General features: G+C 46.3%; 1 protein-coding gene across 24 annotated transcripts in view, besides 1 other annotated feature; it reads left to right on the forward strand.

The window, feature by feature from the left end:
• Positions 1,458-1,917: a silencer, noted in NCBI's record as "silent region_14651". NCBI's record gives its function as "represses an Ori minimal core promoter by ATAC-STARR-seq in GM12878 lymphoblastoid cells {active_cell/tissue: GM12878}" and the evidence as "EXISTENCE:reporter gene assay evidence [ECO:0000049][PMID:35858748]".
• Positions 1,942-19,029, forward strand: part of KALRN (kalirin RhoGEF kinase) — a 692,957-nt gene continuing 675,869 nt past the window's right edge. For all 24 annotated transcript variants that reach the window (XM_006713810.4, XM_017007429.2, XM_011513279.3 and 21 more), the window contains exon 1: positions 1,942-2,386. In XM_006713810.4, the coding sequence (XP_006713873.1) occupies positions 2,314-2,386 (73 nt within the window). In that variant the 5' untranslated portion in view covers positions 1,942-2,313. The remainder of the gene's footprint in view (positions 2,387-19,029) is intronic.

The following is a 19,029-nucleotide window of genomic DNA, read 5'->3' on the forward strand; positions in this document are numbered from 1 at the left end:
GCACAATGGTGGCAATTAATTAATAGCAGCTCTGCCATCACATATGTGTGTGCGGGGGTAGGGGAGCAGACCAGGGGTTAGGCAAAGGATTAAGGGGAAGGAAGATTTTGAAAAGACAAATGAGAAGTATTTTCATTGTCAGAAAAGGCATAGGCAAAGGGGCATCTTAAGCCAGTTCAAGATACTAGGGCCAGATGAATTAGATCTCAGGGCAGTGAACTTGTGATGTCAGAGTCACTACAGAGGTCTGATAGATGTACTCAAGGTTGGAGACAGGTCTGATAGGTGTATCCAAGGTTGGAAACAGGTACTTTTTTTTAATGGGTGAAAAAAAATTAGACTGTTTGTGTCAGTGAAGAACGTGATGCGTACAGGGAGCCAGAAAGTGTTCACTAAAAACTAATTTAATTCATTTTATTTGCTACAAGTTTACACAGTTGGTGGATCTGCATAGGCCCCAGTTGCCTTGGCCCCCAGAGAGAGGTGGAACCAAACAGGTTACTAGAGACAAACAGATCCAGGAGATTCTGTCTGATGGGTTGCAGTCATTAACTTCAGACCAGTACCTGGTTTTCCTATTAGGCGTGTTTTAACACATTAGGTCAGGCCACCACTTCTCCATCTGTCTGGATGAGGCAACAGCGAACAGCGCTCAGCAGACCTTATTAAGTACTCAGGTCTTAAAGACCCTCTGTTTGGTGGGCTCTGTAGTCACTAGAACCATAAACACACTACTGGCTAATTATTGTTTAATTATTGCTTAAAAACTGATGGGCACAATACAATCACCGCATTAATTACCCCATACAGCATCTGTTTTCTTTTTTGCAGCCATCCCCATTCCTCCCCAGCCCCTCTCCCCACTTTAATTGAAATTCAGCTTGCTGTAACACCTCCTTCCTCCTGGCCAACTGGATCTCTCCATTCACATGAGGGAGAACAAAACCGAGAAGGCCCCAGGGATTAGAGAGTTTTGACAGCTGTCCAAGAGGAGCGCGGAGATACGGGCCAAGTACGGAGGCAGGACAGAGACAAACGAGGGACAAGAGAGTGACGGAGGGAGGGAGAGATAGGCAGGGAGACATCACAGGAGCATTAAACTGGACAAAGAGTCACAGAGACAGGCGGAGATGTTTAAAGGGGCGCTGAAAAGGGGAAAAGGACGAGAAAAGATAAAAAGGAGAGAAACTGTGGCGAGCTGGTGAGGAAAATGTGAGAGGCTCAGGAGGGCAGGGAGACAGAAGAGAGCTCGTCAGGAAGGAGGGGAAGAAAGGCCGGCCTCTAGGGACAGGTCAGTCCAGCTTGGAGACCGATCTGAAGATCCAGAGAAGGCGGGCGGGCAGCCTGGTGGTCCCCTCACACACCTGGGAGTGGAGTGGACGGAGGAGGTGGCCGCGGGGCCGGGAGGAGCACCGGCGGCGCGAGCGGAGAAGCTGAGCGCGCAGCGCCCGGGCCGCAGAGCCCCCTGGACAAGCCTGGCGTGTGCCCTGCAGCCCCGGGCTCGCCCGGCGGCCCCGCCCCCTCCCTGGCCCGGGCTTTTCCTGCGGAGCTCAGGAAGCCGGCCTAGCACAGCCTCGAACAATAGCTCGGGACTCGGGCTCCGCTCCCCGGGAGGCCGGCGCGGGGCCGCTGGGACTGGGGGCGTAGGCGCCGCCGGGGGCCCGCAGCGAGCCCTCGGCCCCGGCCGGAGCTTCAATTCAGCTCGGCGCTCCCGGGGTCATTGTTGGCCGGGACTGAGGGAGCGGGAGCCGGGGGAGGAGCTGGGGAGGCGGCTGCTGCGGCGGCGGCGGCGGCGGGAGCCAGAGGGGGAGCTAGAGAGCGAGCGAGCGAAGGAGGGAGGTAGCGAGTGAGCGAGTGAGCGAGGGAGGGAGGAGGTAGGGAGACAGGGAGGGTGGGAGGGAGGAGGAAAAATAAAGAGGAGAGAGCGGAGCAGGGCTGAACAATAGAGACAGGCAGACGGGCGAGCAGGAGAGCCAGCTGCCGCTGCTGGGGGACAGCGGGCGCCCAGGCAGCCCGCACCCCGGCCCCGGGCCCCGGCCCCAGCCAGACAGCAGGCGGCCAGCGCCCTGGGGAAGGGGTACCATGGGGGAGCTGGCGGCAGGCACCCCCAGCCCGCCGCGCGCCTCCGCCTGAGGGAGGCTCAGCGTCCTCTGCCCCAGCCCCGCCGCCCAACGCCCGCCCTCGAAGCTCCGCGGCCGCCAGCTCTGCGGCCGCAGCAGCTGCGCCCCGCGCCCTCCGCCCACCGGGCGCCGAGCAGCCCTCGGCCCCAGGCTTCTTCGGCTCCCGGCTGCCCGCGGACGCCCTCCCACAGTCATGAACCCCCCTGAGGGAGCAGCGGAGGAAGGAGGAGCAGCAGACTCGGACGTGGACGCCTTTTTCCGGACAGGTAAGCCGGGCAGGGCGCGGGGGGCCAGGGCTGAAGGCTACTGCCTCGGACGCGGCGTCTCGGACAAGTTTGGGGAAGGAGGGCTGTTGCTGCCGCGTGCGTGTTGGGGGGCAGTGCCCCCTCGGCGTCGGGGCTGGAGTTGCCGAGATTCTGGTTGTTATGGCAGTGCTGGCTGCGTCTGGGGAGGGCGTGGGGGCTGGGAACTCCGCGCCCCTCCGCCTTCACCCCAGTTGCGGGAGTCTGTGTTGGGGAGGTGGGAGGCGGTCCCCTCGGACCGCCTTCTCCCAGAGCGCGGGGATGGGCGGTGTTGGCTCACTTTGCAGCGCGCCGCTCCGGCTACCGGCGTCCCGGCCCCTCCCTTGGCTCCCCCTCCCCTGTGCCTGTCAGCGGGGCTCCCGGCGGCCGCCCTGGGTCGGCACCCCTCCTCGCCGTCGGGGGCCCGGGGCCCTGATGTGCACAGAGGGGCGGCGGGGACCCGGAGCCGCGCCGGCTGCAGACTGACAGGAGTGGGGCGGAAGACATCGGTCTCGCCTGGTGCGTGTGGGGAGCTGGTCCCTCTGACTTGAGAGGCAGACCCAGCTGGGAGGGCGGTGGGCGCCTCGGACCTCCCCCTTGTCCTCCTCTTCAGTTCTGGGAACGGAGGAGCTATTCATAAGAATTACTCATTCCTGGAAGTGTGAGTTAGCGTCCCTCTCATACACACCCACTAAGTCTCTGCTTGCTGTGAGGTGTAGAGCCCTGAGATGTCTTTCTAGCTCTTTGCGCCCCTGCCATCGTCCAAGTCCCGGGTCCATTGCTCCTCCTGCTCCCTGGCTACACAGTCCCTCCCTAGAACCGGCACTGACCACCCTTATCTTCCACCACCTGTGGCCCTGTTTCTCTGATGGCCAGGGATTCCCCGTCTCCCTGTACCTGTGGCTTCCACCAGCTTCTGTGTGTAGCTCCCCATCTCCCCACATGTCTGAAACAGTTTTGTCTGGAATCTTTGTCCCAAGGAGTCCAGTAAGTTACCGGGGCCCCATGCATCTGCTCTCCCTTCTGGAAAGTTGGATTAGAGGACATGAACTGGTGGGGGTCAGGGGTCAGGTTAGCTCTGGAGGGTCTCTGCACATCCATCTGTTTCCTAACCCTGTTACCTTGCCCTGGAGGTCATCTCTAGGGAAGGGGGTGGGGTGCTTTGCGGGGGAGACTTGTGGCTTTGGAAGTCAAGACTTGATTGGCTCATATGTTCATTCTCTAGTTGATGTGCAGAGGAAAAAACTGGAGGACAGGAGCTGGTGCCAGGGTCTGGGGAAATCAGAGGGAGCCCTGTCATTCTATTCTGCTTCCCAGGTCTAAGCCTTCTTTCCTTTTCTTTCTTCCTCCTTCCTTCCCTCCTTCCTCTTCCGAGACATGGATTCTATTTTCTTTCTTCTCTCTCTCTCTCTCATACACACACAGCCCAGCACCCAAAAGCATGGATTCTAAAGAGGTGGAATCTAGGGAAAAGGTGGTTCTGGGGGCTAAGTGATATTCAGAAATACTCATTATGAGGCAGAGGAGGGGAGATATGGGAATTCATAACTGGGACTAGAAACAAATTGACCAGTCAATCAAAAACCCAGCTGACCCCCCTTGCCTCCCAACTGGGGCAAAAGTCTGCATTTTCTTAGCTCTGAGGGAAAAATCTTGAAGTGTGAGCCTTCCCACCTTCCCTTTCTGGACTCCACTTTTACCTTTTGGTGCCCACTCCTCTTTCCCCTTTCCTATCATCCAAACACTAGGTCCTGTTCATTTTCTGTTCCAGGCACCCGTAGCAGAGCTCAGTTCCTGGAGGCTTGCTTATTTCTGATAATAAATTCACACAGTGTTAATGGCCAATAATAGTCCAATGTGTTACTTTTCCCAGGGCCTTTCAAAACACAAGGTGTGGCACACATTATCTAACCCTGGCTCAAATCACAGAATAAATAGCAGACTGGGGTCAGTCTCCTGTGGGATTCCTATGTTGGGGATATTCTCCCTCCTCCTTGGGCAGCCCAGTGGCTGAGCTAAGTCTGATGTGCACTTAGTATCAGAGAAAGGTTAAGTCATTGGTGCATGAGGCTGGAAATGACTGATGACCTGTAACATGTTGCAAGAGGGGGTAGGTCAAGGACTACATCCACCCTGTGTGGCCCTCTATGCTTGGCTCACTGACTGTCACCACACTTCTGGTCTCTAGCCTAGGCTCTTGCTGGGGATTCTTCTTCTTCTTTTTATTTTTATTTTTTGTTGTTAATTTTTATTTTAGGTTCAGGGGTACATGTATGGGTTATATAGATAAACTGTGTGTCACAGGGGTTTCGTATACAGATTATTTCATCACCTTGGTAATAAGCATAGTACCTGATAGGTATTTTTTCTGATTTTCTCTGTCCTCCCACCTTCCACCCTCAAGTAGGCTCCGGTGTTTGTTATTCCTCTCTTTGTGTCCATGTGTTTTCATTGTTTAACTCTCACTTATAAGTGAGAACATGAAGTATTTGGTTTTTTGTTCCTGCGTTAGTTTGCTTAAGATAACAGCCTCCACCTCCATCCATGTTGCTGCAAAGGGCATGATCTTATTCTTTTTTATGGCTGCATAGTATTCCATGATGTACATGTACCACATTTTCTTTATCTAGTCTGCCATTGATGGGCATTTAGGTTGATTCCATGTCTTTGCTATTGTGAACAGTGCTGCAATGAACATATGCATATGCGTTGGTGGAGATTCTTAAGCTTAGAAAAGCCATGTTTCTAAACCTTCTCCCTTCTGATTTCCCATCTCTGTGGAATATAGCACTATACCTGATAGGCTGGATAGATTATAAATGTATTCTATTGAACAACTGAGAAAGCTTCAAACAAATTTTCAAAGTCCCTAGCACCAGGGTTACCCCTTTCTTTCTGATGGAAAATTTTGTATGCACAAGGACCAAACTGGAAATTGCTTTGTCAAAATTCTGGCATACTGTGCTTCTAATTAGGCATGTTTCAAATTATTCTGTCATTTTGGTTCCTTGTTTGTCCTCTTCTGATCATTTTGGTGTTTCAATCCCTTGACCAATTGGTTAAGCTAGATTCCCTAAATCTCACTTCCCTGTGTGCACATGGACACAGACATCCCACCCTACCCAGCCTACTATTCTAGATTGGTAGACTCCAGATTGTCTTCTTGGGAATTCTCTGTTCCAAGCCTGAGAAAGTGTGTTACAGTAATTTTATTGATCATAGTTATGAGGCAGAGGAGGGGAGTTATGGGAACTGATAACTGGGACCAGAAACCAATTGACCAGCAATCAAAAACAACTTTTCAATTATCCCTAGAGGCTTCTGCTGTCCACGGTGCTGTGGAACACAAAAGAAATATTCGAAGTGGTCTCTGTCCTCAAAGAACTTCTGAAGAAGATTGACATTTACTGTTCAATTAGAGATTTATTGCTAAGCGTTGTGGTGCTATAAGTTAAAAAGTTGGCAGAACTACAGAGGAGGTGGAACTTCGGGTGGTCCTTGAAGGATGAATGAAGAATGGGCAGTGGCACATGGGAGTTTGGGCATTGAAGAGCCTGGGCTGACATAGAGGAAGATGTAGGTTAGTGAGGAATGGGAAACAGGATTGGAGAAGTGGGGCAGGGTCAAATAGGGAGAGTCTTGAAAGCACAAGAGTGGAGATTGGATTTGATTCTGGGGCAGTAGGGAGTCATTATGGATTCTTGAACAATGACACATCATGAAAAATGTGGTGTTTGGAAAGGTTAATCTGGGATAATATGATTTAATAAGTGGAGAAGAGAAGGGTAGAATCTAGGGAGATGCAAAAGTGATCTGGAGGTGAGGGGGAGGAGCTTTGGTCTGGGTTGGTGGCAGAAAGGATGGGGAGTCAGGGATGCCATTGAGACACATTTTTAGAGGTATAAGTGTGGGGACTTGTTGATAATCTAGTGATGGGGGAGAGGAAAATGAAGCCCATGAGGAAAATGAAGTAGCTGGGTTGAGGAGCCTAGAGGACTGACAGTGTCTGACTGATGGACAGGTGTGGGCTGGTTGAAGACAGGACCTGGTTTTGCAGGGCAGATAATGTTGTTAGCTTTGGACATGAAGCATGGGGGGGGCGACTCAGGGAAATCCAGATGGAGTTGTTTTGTCAGCAGTTGGAAATGTGGGACTCAAGACAGGAGCATGGGCTGGAGGCTAGGGCTGTTGATGTTGATTTGGAAGGTTGGATGCAGCCGAAGCTTTGTGAATGCATCTGCTGTCAGAGGGAAGGAGTAGAGGAAGAAAGGGAAGGGTGAAAGTTAGATTTTGGGGTAGAAATTCTTATTGCAGAAGTGGCAGCAGAGGAGACTTGATCCTAGAGACCCCAGGGAGTCAGTGTGGGCTCTGATGTGATGACAGGCTGCAGACAGGTTGAGCAGGAGGAGTGCTGGGGCATGATGAAAGAAAGACCCTGTGCACTCCAGGAGCACAGGATTAGAAGAGGTGTTCAGAGGAGGGATTTGGGGTGGTGAGTGGGAATCAGCTACTTGCAGAGTTTATCAGTGAAAGGAAAAAGAGGTGTGTGCTTAGCCAGAAGGGACGTTAGTATCCAGAAAAGGAATTTTTGTTTTTTGTTAGAGTCACAGCAGGTTTGGAGGTGGCAGGGAGAGAATGTGTGGAGAGGAAAAATTGAGGAGGCTAGAACGAGTGTAGAGTTTGATACCTGAAGAAATGAGATAAGAATAGGTTCCCTAACAAAAGTAAGAGTTTAGCTTTGGTAAGCAGCAGAGAAACCTTTTTCTTTAAGGTGCAAAGGAAAAAAAGTAAGAAGATAAATGAAAAGAGTGATGTGGAGATATTTTCTACCTCTGTCCTTCTGTTGAGCATTGGTTCTGTGAATCTAGACATTTTCAACTGAAGTGTTTGCAGTTACTTGGGCTTCAGCCAATCTCAGACTCAACTCTGTATATCTTTCCAACTCCCCAAACTAGCTCTTCCTCTTGACTTTCTTAATTCTATAAGTGACACCTTCACTCTCCCAGTCATGATATTTAAAACCTTGGCATTGTCTGTGAGGACTCTCTTTCCTCCAACAAACCCTGTTGAATTATCTTTCATAGTTAGCTCTTGCTGCTCATTCACAGGGCATGGCCCCAGGCCAGGCCCCATATGCCCCCATGGACTCCTTTCCTGGCCCTCATTCTCATCCCTTGGAAGCTGTTCACTTAGCCCCACTCCAAATTGGACCTGCAGACACATTAAACTTCCTAAAGCACTACTTTCATCACACCACTGCTTGGTGCTTGAACCTTCAGTAACCCCCTAGTGCCTTCAGGGTCAAGTGTCGGCCTCACAGCTCAACTCCAGCCAGGCTGCTCTCCACACACTGCCCAAGGGCTCCTGCATTCACAGTCTCCTTGGATCAACCACCCCGGCACCCTCCAAATCCAACACAGTCTTTAAGACTTGATCCCTGCCTTCTTCTGGGAGCTTTCACAGCTCACGATGACAGCCCTTTGAATTACTCACTGTCTGTACTCATTTTCTCACTTCATTAGTATTGTATTGTTATTTAGCCTTTCCATACATGAAGGCTTGTCTCCCCCATTGAAGTTATTTGTTCTTTGGAGGTAAGAAAAAGGATCTTTTTAAAAGCTTGTGATTAATCAAAAAACACCCCCTCACAATATAAATCAAACATGGCAAAATATAAGCAGCTATTGAATCTAAGTGATGGTTTGTTTATATTCACTGTATGATTTCTTAAACTTTTTTCTTAAATAATAACCCCATCACATCTAGGCAGGGAACCTTAAACTATTGTCATGTCCAGATCATATAGAAGGGAGATTTGGGAATAACAATCTATGTTGGTATGCAATTCCTTGAGTAAATGTCACCGCCCAGTCTGTACATTGCCAGGTACCTAAAAAGGGAGGAGTCTCTTACTTCCTGAGCTTTCTTTTGCAGCAAAGGAAAACATCTCTTTTTTTTTTTAAGTTATGCTTGATGCTCCAGAGTGTAAACACGATGCTTAATTTAATGCTTGTTGTCCCTTCTTGATCTCCTCCACTTTCACCCATTATGAACTGGGCTTTTGGTCACATCATTTTTCAGGAGCCTTTGGGGGAGTATTGGGAAGACTTTGTGGTTCTGGAGAGGGAATGTTGTTAATATTTCTAATGCTATATTTTTATAGGCTATTTCTACTATTAATATATTTTAGTACATATCAGTGACATCCAGGTCCACCTCTGTAAGATTTGGTAAGCTTTGCTTCATCCTTGTGCCACAAATCACCAATAACTTTATTACTGGTACATACTGTCCAGTCGTATTTGATAATCCCTTGAGGGATGAAAGGAGGTTTTAGAATAAACTGAAGCTACAGAAAGAAATTAGCTGAGAAGTAAGAAAATCTTCCTGACTATAAATAAAATCAATAAAACACTATAAGGGGTGAACTAGAGGTTCTTCTTAGATGTTGGAAATGAACACTTTTTACTTTTCAAAGTTTTCTCTGGTTCTGGTATTTGATAGTTTACTGCTGGAGGTGGTCAGTATGGTATAGCCCAGTGGTTCTCAACAAGGGCAATTCTCCCCTCCCACCCCCCATCATAGAACATTTAGCAATGCCTGGAGACATTTTTTTGGTGTCATAACTTAGGGAGGGTTTGCTACTGGCATCTAGTGGGTAGAGGTCAAGGGTGCTGCTAAGCATCTTACAATGCACAGGACAACAAATAATTATCCAGCTCCAAAATGTCAGTAATGCTGAGATGGAGAAACGCTGGTATAGCCAGAGGATGACAGGCTTTGGATGGAATAGGTTCAGCACTAACTAGGGATAGGATCTTGCATTAATTATTTAATATCTCTCATCCTCATCTTCTGCAAAATGGGACTGATAAAGCTTGTTTCACAGGTTGAGAGTATTAAGTAGGAAAAAACATGTATGGAGCATCTAGTGGTCTCTGACACACTAGAAGCACAAGAAATCCTAGTTATCCCTGTTGTTCCTGCTGTTTTAATTATTAATTGAATGTGATGGACAGAGGCTGAAGGTCTCTTGAAGGCATGCTAGGCAGGACTTTTGACATGGGATGCAAGAGGGTGCCAGAGAGGCAACATGATGCAGTGCAGGGATCCTGTGTGTGGCATCAGAAGGCTAGGTTTTGGGCCTTGGCTCTCTTTCATTCATTCATTTAATCATTTGTTTGAAAAATATTTATCAAGTGTTTACTATAGTCATGTACCACGCATGCTATGGGAGTATATAAAGCCATTAAAAAAAGAATGTAGAACAGGAATGGAAATGGAAATAAATATACCCCCTCTGGGAGCACTTGGATATAAGGGGTTAAAAGGGGAGGGAAAAGTCTATGAAGGAGGCTGAGAAGGTCAGACAATAGAGCAGGAGGTAAACACTCCATTTTGCTCTCTACTTACATGAATAACTTGGACAAATGACTTTAACATCTGTGTAAGATGAGGATAATAGCCCCCCGCCCCAACCCTTCCCTTATAGAGCTGCTGAGAGACTCAAATAAGATACTGTATCTGAAAAGTTGTACAATACTATCCGAATATATGTAGATCTTTCCAAATTGAACATTCTATTACTCTAAGTGCCTCTTCTGACAAGTATTATCTGATTTAATCTGATTTCCATGGGACCTTTCCAGTCCAGGAAGAGATGCAGTTCTTCTCATTTTGGTTTCCCAAGGGGACTGGATGGGGCACCCTTTTACAGCAGGTCAGGGGACCCCTTTTTTCTCCTCCTCTGCATAAGTAGAAGAATGGCAGTCCCTGTCTGGGTCATGGGGCACGTGGCTCGATCCATGTGGAGAAGGTCCTTGCTTCTTACTTCTGCTGAATCTCAGGTGTGCACAGAGAATCAGGTCCTTCCTGCCTTTTCTCTGGATGCAGAGGAAAGTTCAGAGTCCTCCTGCCACTCCTTTGTGTATGAATGACTGGCAGCGAAAATAACTAGGAAATGACTGACAGCCACAGAGCTGTCGGATCAATAGAGCTGCTTGAAATTGTGTCTGCCTAGGAGCGAGGGAACAGAAAGAATCAAATGGGTGGACAGAGGAATTAATTCAGGGAGGTAAAGAAGAAACTGTAGGAGAATTAGCTTTGTCTCCTCCCCATCTGCCCTATGACATTATTAGAAGGGAGCTGGACACTAGCTAGGGAACATGGAAGCAACAGATAAACAAATTTAAGAGTGAAAAGTGGCAGACGCTTTGTACACTTAAGGGAGTGGCTACTTCTCCTTGATCTGGGACATAGGATGGGTATGGTTTGGACAGGGAAGACAGAAAGTGTTGTGATCCCAGGTTAAAACAGCATTGAAAGGAGGTGTGAATATTCATAGCATATTTAGGGGCAGTAAATGGTCCAGTTTATGTGACTCAGTGGCTGGTGGAGGATCAATGGGAGATGAGACTCAGGAGGTGGCAACCAGGTTGATTAGTTGATTCCTTTATCAAATATTTACTAGGCTCCTACATCATGAAGGCATTGAATGGAAGGCCAATGAATTTGGTCTTTCAGCAGTTGGCTTTGGGAAGCCACTAAAAATGACATGATCAGAAAGATAAATCTGGCAGCCCTGTGGAGGGTCCATTGGAGTAGGGGAGGGACTGTTGGTTGGGGATGGGTTAGAAGATCACTGTGATAGGCTAGGAGAGTCTGAACTTGAGAAGCAGCAGCAGAAATGGAGAGGAGGGGATGGATATGAGTTACTTTGGGAGGTGGAGTCTATAGGGCCTGGCATCTTGGATGTTGATGTGTCAAGAAAGAGATAGGAACCCAAGATTACTCCAAAGTTTAGAGTTTGAGTGACTGAGAGAACAGACATACCCTTAATGAAAGTCAGGAACTGCTAAGAGGAGGAGCAGCTGTGGGGAGGCAGGGGAAGAGGGGGGATTTGGAGAATTTGCTTTGGGACATGTTGCATTTCAGGTGTCAGTGAAATAGCTAAGGGACGTGTGGATTCAGTAGGTGGATAATGAAGGGAGTCTGGAGCTTTGGAAGGAGGCCAGATCTGGAAATATAGATTTGGGAGCTATCTGAAAGAAGTTGTGGCTGGAGCTATCAAAATAGATGATATAATAAATGAAAAGCATACACAGAATTAAGGGCAGAGTGCCAAAGACAGAATTGTATATACAGGGGTATCTACAGTTGGGCTGTAGGAGAACAGATGCAGAAGGGCTGGAGGAGAACCAGGAGAGAGCAATACTTGGGAAACACAGGTGATCAACAGGGTTTAATGCTGCAGAGAAGTTGAGGGAGATGGGAACTGAGCAAATACCATTGGTTCTGGAGACTAGGAATCATTGGTAATCTTTGAAATAACAGTTTCAATTGTGTATGGGAGGTGGAATTCAAATTCCAAGGGGAATGAGGAGTGAGCGCATGGGGAGGAAGTGGTGGGAGTGCATATAGATGGCTCTTTGGAAAGGTTTGACTGTGAAGGGAAGATTAAAAATAGCAAGGTAGTTGGAGATGGGGAGCAGAGTTGAGGGGAGGTTTTTTTTAGGAGGGAAGATATGTGAATACCTAGGGATAGGGTAGAGGGAGAAGGCAGGCATGAGGAAGAGACTTAATATTTAGAAAAGACAGAAGTAATAGATTGAGGAAGGTCCTGGATGAGCCTGGAGGGGTGGATCTCAAGTTCAGCTTTGGGCCAGAGGAGGATGCTTCTTTCTTGGACTCTGGAGGGAAGGCAGACCTCAGTGAAGTAGCTGGCTGGGAAGGACCAATGGGCACAATGTTCCAGATTGACAGCTCCAGGAGAGAGAGCATCATCTGGCTGGAAGACTCAGAGACTAGTGGTGCCATGCTTGGGGAGGGTAGTACAAGCTGAGGCAGCTGTGAAATGGGTGGGCTGAGCTGTTGTGGCCCTAGAAGGCTCTTGGGCAGAGAAGCTAAGAAGCGAGGCTGGGAGATCTAAAGTTAGCAATCCGTTTAAAAGTGCTGGTGGCTTTCTTTTGCAAGCCGAGGTGGGACTGCTCTAGGCTGTAGTGGGGTCTGCAGAATTGCCTCCTACAGAGTATGAGTCAGAAAGGCAAGCGGGGAAAGAAGTAAGTGAGGAGAGGAGAGAGGGAGGGAAACTCAGGCAAGATGGTATCTGGGCAGCCTTCTGAGGAGGGGTCAATGTCTGGCCATCAGGGTACTGTATCAGTGATGGGATTTGCTCATGAATTTCCAGTTTCCGTAGTGTCTCTAGAAGTCCTAGAAGAAAGGGGAAGCAGGCTAGGGCTCATGAATGAGCCCCTTGCTCATTCTTCTCCATGAAGTTGAATCCTTCACACAAAAGAGAAGATGCCATACTCTCTTTCTTGGACCCAAACACTCCTTCCACCCCTTGTTTCAGGGGCTGACCCAAGATGAAAAGCCCCATTTCATCAAAGGCTCCTCAGTGGTCTCACACGACCCTCCAGAGGGCTGGGGAGTAGGAATCTGGCTGTTGCTGCCACCAAAGGGTGGATTGTGGGGCACCAGGCTTATCTACCCTAGAACACAAGAAGGTGGGAGTTTCCTAAAGTGTAGACCAGTTCCAGAATCATAGAATCTTAGAACAGGAACTTACCAGCTTTGTGACTTTGTGCAAGTTATAACCACTCCAAGCTTTAGTTTATAAATCTGTAAAATGGGTAAAAAATCCTTGCCTTTCAGTGGGCACCTGTAATCCCAGCTACTCAAGAGGCTGAGGCAGAAGAATCACTTGAACCCAGGAGGTGGATGTTGCAGTGAGCCAAGGTCGCACCACCACATTCCAGGCTGGGCAACAGAGTGAGACTCTGTCTCCAAAAAAAAAAAAAAAAAAAATTGCTCATGTTAATAGATATATTCTGATAGTTATATTCATATTGTGAATAGTAATGTAAATAGGATATTACTAGTAATGTGGTATTATATATTACTAGTATGACATATTACATGTACGACATATTATGATTATGTTACCAGTTAGATGAATCCCTTTATTTTCAAAATCATGAACACTGATTCCTTCCTTCCTTCCTTCCCTCCCTCCCTCCCTCCCTCCCTCCCTCCTTCCTTCCTTCCTTCCTTCCTTCCTTCCTTCCTTCCTTCCTTCCTTCCTTCTCTTCCTTCTCTTCCTTCTCTTCATTCATTTGGTAACAGTGTGGAGATAGGGTTATGATTTTTAAACTTGCAGTTACAATTATTCCAAGGCATGACAGGCGGGGATTAGGGATGAGGCTAAAATCTCCATCTTTTATACTCTTACCCAGCCCAGGGACAATGGGCATCTATGGGGTGGGGGCACAATATTGAGTTGGCAGCTGGACAGTGGGCCTAGAAGGGGACCCGGGAGACTGGCAGATGGTTAATTGGATGTGACAAAAAAGGGCTAGGAGGAGGGGTCTGGGCTCCTGGGGGATTCTTGTGTCTGACTACTTACTATCCTGAAATGAGGTAGTGGGGAAAGAGAGGAGTGGCTCTAGGAACAATTGGGGAAAAGATTGGTAGGACTCCGTGTCAGGGTGTGGCAGTGGAAGGACAAAACACCATAGGGAGTAATGTCACAGCTTTAAGTCAGAGCTTTAATGTCACAGCTTTAAGTGCAAGATTTTAAGCCTCTTCTGTGTACACCAGTGCTTTGGCACATAACATGCTCAGATACTTGGAAGTAAAGAGACACTTAACCAAAGATTGTAACAGTACAGTTTTCTAGTCATTCTTCATGATCCCAACCACTGAGTTTTGACAGCTAAGTATCATTCCTTTTGATGGGAATTGGAGAAAGAACTAATCAATTTTAGCATAGTACTGATTTCAGTGAGCAGATCTCTTCATTTATTCTTACACTCATTTATCGAAGTGTCAGACACCAGCTGTACACCTACTAAGTGCCAGGCACTGGGGGTACACAGACAAGTTATAAATAATCTTTCCCGAAAGGAGGTTAACAGCCTAATGGGGGGGGGGGGGTTGCCTGATACATAAACAGGTGATTGCAGTGTAGTATAAGTTCAGTAAAGAGGAATGCACACTAATGTATAGAGGAAGGATTAACAACCTCACCCGGATGGGCGTGGGGAAGATTCATTGAAGAGAGAGTGCTTGGGCTGAAATGGATGAAAAGGTAGTGCAAACAAGAATAATGAGCATAGACCACTATTCAAGAAGCTTGGTAATAAAAGTAAGGAGAAAAATAAGATGGTAATCAAAAGGACATTTTGGGGGTACTGATATTGCTCTGCTTCTAGACCATAGGTGTATGTTTCTTTTGTGAAATCTTAATGAGCTGTAAACTTATATGTGCAGTTTTATGCATGTATATTATTCTTAATTCAAAAATTTTAAAAGGTTATCAGGTCCAGTGATTTTTTCTTTCAGATCAAGGAAAAACTTTGAATGTTTGAAAAAGTCATAGGAAGAGACAATGGTAGAGACTCAAAGTATTAGAAGGTGGTATATGTGTTAGTGGGGTACCAGGGTGGGTACCAGCTTCCCCAAAGTTAGGAAAGAATGAGATTTCTGGGCAAAGAGGTTATCTCTGGAATGGATGGTCACCTTTTCTTCTATGGCTATGAGGAAAGACCAGGTGTTTTTCAGGTCAGATGCTGGAGCTCTTATTAAGCTAACCTCAGTCATCTTAGTGAATGGGAGCCAAGGTCATCTGCAAGCACTGGGAGATGCTGTGAGCCTGGGAAGAGAGGAGATGGATTGGATCCATTCTCTGGAGAGTGAGTGGGAATTGCATAAAAGAATGATCTGTTCAGTTGATTTCAGAATGGGCTGGGTATGTCTGGTTCTGACTCTTGCTCAGCCCTGGAGACTCTGGAGCGGGGATAAAAACAGTGTTTTTGGCTGGTGATTTGGACGAGATGTCTAGGGTGAGGATGAGGTGTGCACTTCACTTGTTTGGATACTATTCTCTTCCCCAAACTTTATGGAACATCAATGGCTTTAAGGCCTTTTGGAGGCCCTACTTTGGAAAATGTTTATGTCTGGTTTCTCCAAGTAGGTTGTATACACACTTTGCTTTGGATTTGTCTGTATTCTTGTCAATGCCCAGGTTAGTGCCTTGCAAATAATACTTGCTCCATTAGTATTTGTTGACCCATTTTTTTTTTCAAAAAAGCTACTTATTGGTGTCTAGGCTACTTGGGAGTCTTATAATGAAACACTGTGCTAAGGAAATGTATCTTTTTTTTTTTTTTTTTTCTGTCGACAGGCAATTCTGCTTTAAACAAAAGACCTATGAAGTCAACGTTGTGAAATACAGCTGTTGTGTGGATTAATTAGAGGGGACTCCTTTTATCACTTGCTTATAAATATTCACATAATTCACAGGCGCTGGAAAAATAAATATTCACTCTTCTTTTAGAAAGATCCAAGTAGGAAAGTTCAAACATGCAAATGGATCAACTAATTAATATTGAGTGAATGTCTGCCATGTGCCTAGTATTATGCCAGATACTAAGAGGGCTAATGAAAATGGCTATCACATGATCTTTGTCCCTGAAAAGTTTATAGTCTTGTTGAATTAGGAAAATAATGGCTAATTAGAGAACAATCAGAAAGGGAGTTTTAGTCATTCATTGACTCATTTAATATGTATTTATTGTCTATAAGCTAAGTGATAATTTAAATAAGTGGTAAAATAAGGTTTTATTTAGAGAGACTCAATTTTAGGTATACCTTCATAGAACACTTTTTTTTTTTTTTTTTTTGAGATGGAGTCTCGCTCTGTTGCCCAGGCTGGAGTGCAGTGGCGCGATCTCTGTTCACTGCAAGCTCTGCCCCCTGGGTTCATGCCATTCTCCTGCCCCAGCCTCCCAAGTAGCTGCAACTACAGGCGCCCGCCACCACGCCTGGCTAATTTTTTTTTATTTTTTTTTATTTTTAGTAGAGACAGGGTTTCACAGTGTTCGCCAGGATGGTCTCGATTTCCTGACCTCATGATCCGCCTGCCTTGGCCTCCCGAAGTGCTGGGATTACAGGCATGAGCCACGGCGCCCGGCCAGAACACTTTTTATATTGAAGTTTTTAAAAATATAAAGCATTATTTTAATGCTGGCTAACTGTAGACCATTTGAAAAATGTGATGAAATATAAAGGATAGAAAAGCCACTGTAATTCTATCACCCAGAGAGAACCCGTTTGCTGATATGAGGTATTTCCTTCTCGTCCTTTTTCCTATGTGGATTCACTCCCTTGATCCATGGTTTGTTTTTCGATTATTGAATTAAGATGAAAAACAAATGAAGGGGGTAGACTTTTTCCAAAATGAGGTCATTTTTTCCAACTAACTTTAAGGTATGATACATTCCTATACATATGTCTATTGAACAAAGTAAGACATTTATAAGCCAATTGACCTTTATATGGGGCAATATAGGAAGACAGAGGATCCATTCATTGTTTGGAGGGGTAAAGGTATTGACACTGTTGTAAAAATATTTACACAAAACAAAAGTATAAGATATATGGTCAAAGTGAATACTCTTTCTCTCTCTTACTCCCTTATGTTTAGATAAATTCAACATATACATGCATGCACCTGTTGCATATACATCTTTATACAAATGGATAGCTTTTTTTCATTTAACAAAAAGAGGATCATGTTATACCTGTTATTCTGCAACTTGTTTTTATCATTTTATAATCATGGACATTTTTCTATGTCAGTACCTATAGCTTTACCTCTTTTTTTTTTTTTGAGACAGAGTCTTGCTCTGTCACCCAGGCTGGAGTGCAGTGGTGCGATCTCGGCTCACTGCAAGCTCCGCCTCCCGGGTTCACACCATTCTCCTGCCTCAGCCTCCCGAGTAGCTGGGACTACAGGCGCCCGCCACCTCGCCCAGCTAATTTTTTTTGTATTTTTAGTAGAGACGGGGTTTCACCGTGTTAGCCAGATGGTCTCGATCTCCTGATCTCGTGATCCGCCTGCCTTGGCCTCCCAATCCTGCTGGGATTACAGGCGTGAGCCACCGCACCCGGCCACCTCATTTGTTTTAACAGTTGTGTTACATTCTGTTGTGAGGATGTGTTACTTTATTAAACCATTCTCCTAATGATAGACATTTATAACCCAGATTTTCTGTGGACGGGTGTTTGTTCTGGGACATTATTTGGTCCAAAGAGTAGCAAGAAAGGCCATTCATTTTTTTGATCTTGTTCAAAGGTGACTGTAGGACAACTGTAGGTTTGGGCTGTTTTCTCTGCCTTTATCCTCAGGAGAGAGGAAGAACAACCAGTCCCTGTTCTCTGAAGGATAACTTTTTGTGTAACGTTTAAGGACACTTTTGTTAGTGACATTTAAATAAATGGTAGAGGCCATTCTTGACCTGTTTTTCAGTGTGCCTTAGGAGCCAGATTTGCAGTCTCAATTAGCCAAAAAAGCCGCATCTGTTCTTGAGCTTGAATGTAAGTTAATTCCAATACCACAGTTAGCTATGGCAGCACTTTAGATTGTGTATGCAAAAGCCATAGCCTGCTGTTGGCTAGGAGACTCCAAGGATGTCATTCGGGAGACCTTGGTTTCTAATTCTACCCACCACTAAATAGCTCTGTGACTTGGCCAAACCCGGTAATATGCCTGTTTTTACAGATGGGATCTCTCTTTCCTCATTCGAAGAAAGAGGTAAACATACTTGCCCTGCCATACCTCATAGGAATAGTATGAGATAAAGTGAGATGATAGAAAGAAAATGCTTTGGAAAAACAAAATGCTGACTAAATGAAAAGGGATTTTGTCAGCTGCTTCTCTGGGGTCTCCTTCGGTTTTGAGTGTGGTTGAAAGCTGAGCTGGGGGACTCAGATGGGAGTGACAGCCTGTACTGCACTTGAGGACTGTACATTTTTTCATGTCTGGTAGGAAATTGGCAGCACTAGAAATGGAGTGAAACTTTTCATGACATGTTCCATTTGCTTTTGGAAAAGAGACATGTGTATGAGAGTGGAAGAGTAGCTCATCTAACTGCCCAGATGGCTGAGGTTTTCTTTCTGGTGGGTAATAGTGTAGTTCACTTGCACACTTACTTCTTATTACCCAGATGTGCAAAGAAACTGTAGCTTTTCAAATTTTCTAAAGTGGAGCCAGTCTTTCTGATAAGCCCCCACCCCTGTTTTGCTAGTTTATAATATATTATTCTTTTTTCTGGATTAATCTCTTTTGGATGACTATTTCATTTAGGTAAATTGCTCAGTTGCTCAGATTTTTCTTATGTTCCTCCACTTCTCTTCAGAGTGGGGTCTGGGTGCATAGAGGTGTTTACATGAACTTGTGGTGGTAGTGATGGGAGCAAAGGAAGAAGGGTACTTGGAGCCAAGGCAAGATAGCTAGATCCCACTGGTCTTTGCTTCATGGAGGCAGGGCTGGTCTGATGACCTCTCTTGTTTTTTGGAATATTGTGCTAATACCCAGGACTAAAATTTATGTCCTACTTTTTGCCTATGCGGTCAAAGACCCTACATATGGCAGCCTCTTAGTCCTGACTCCAGGCCTTTGCCCAGTCACTGAATGAGTACCATCAGCAGGGAACAAAGAAGCATATGGATCCCAGCTTGCTCAGCACCAAGTGTGAGAAGACAGAACCTCTGCACTTGGCTCCCTAACTAGACATTCACCTTGGCCAGTGCTGTGTTTTCATCTGTTCACCACCATCCTCTCCCCT

Source organism: Homo sapiens, chromosome 3 (genome assembly GCF_000001405.40).
Source record: "Homo sapiens chromosome 3, GRCh38.p14 Primary Assembly".
Classification (NCBI taxonomy): Eukaryota; Metazoa; Chordata; class Mammalia; order Primates; family Hominidae; genus Homo; species Homo sapiens.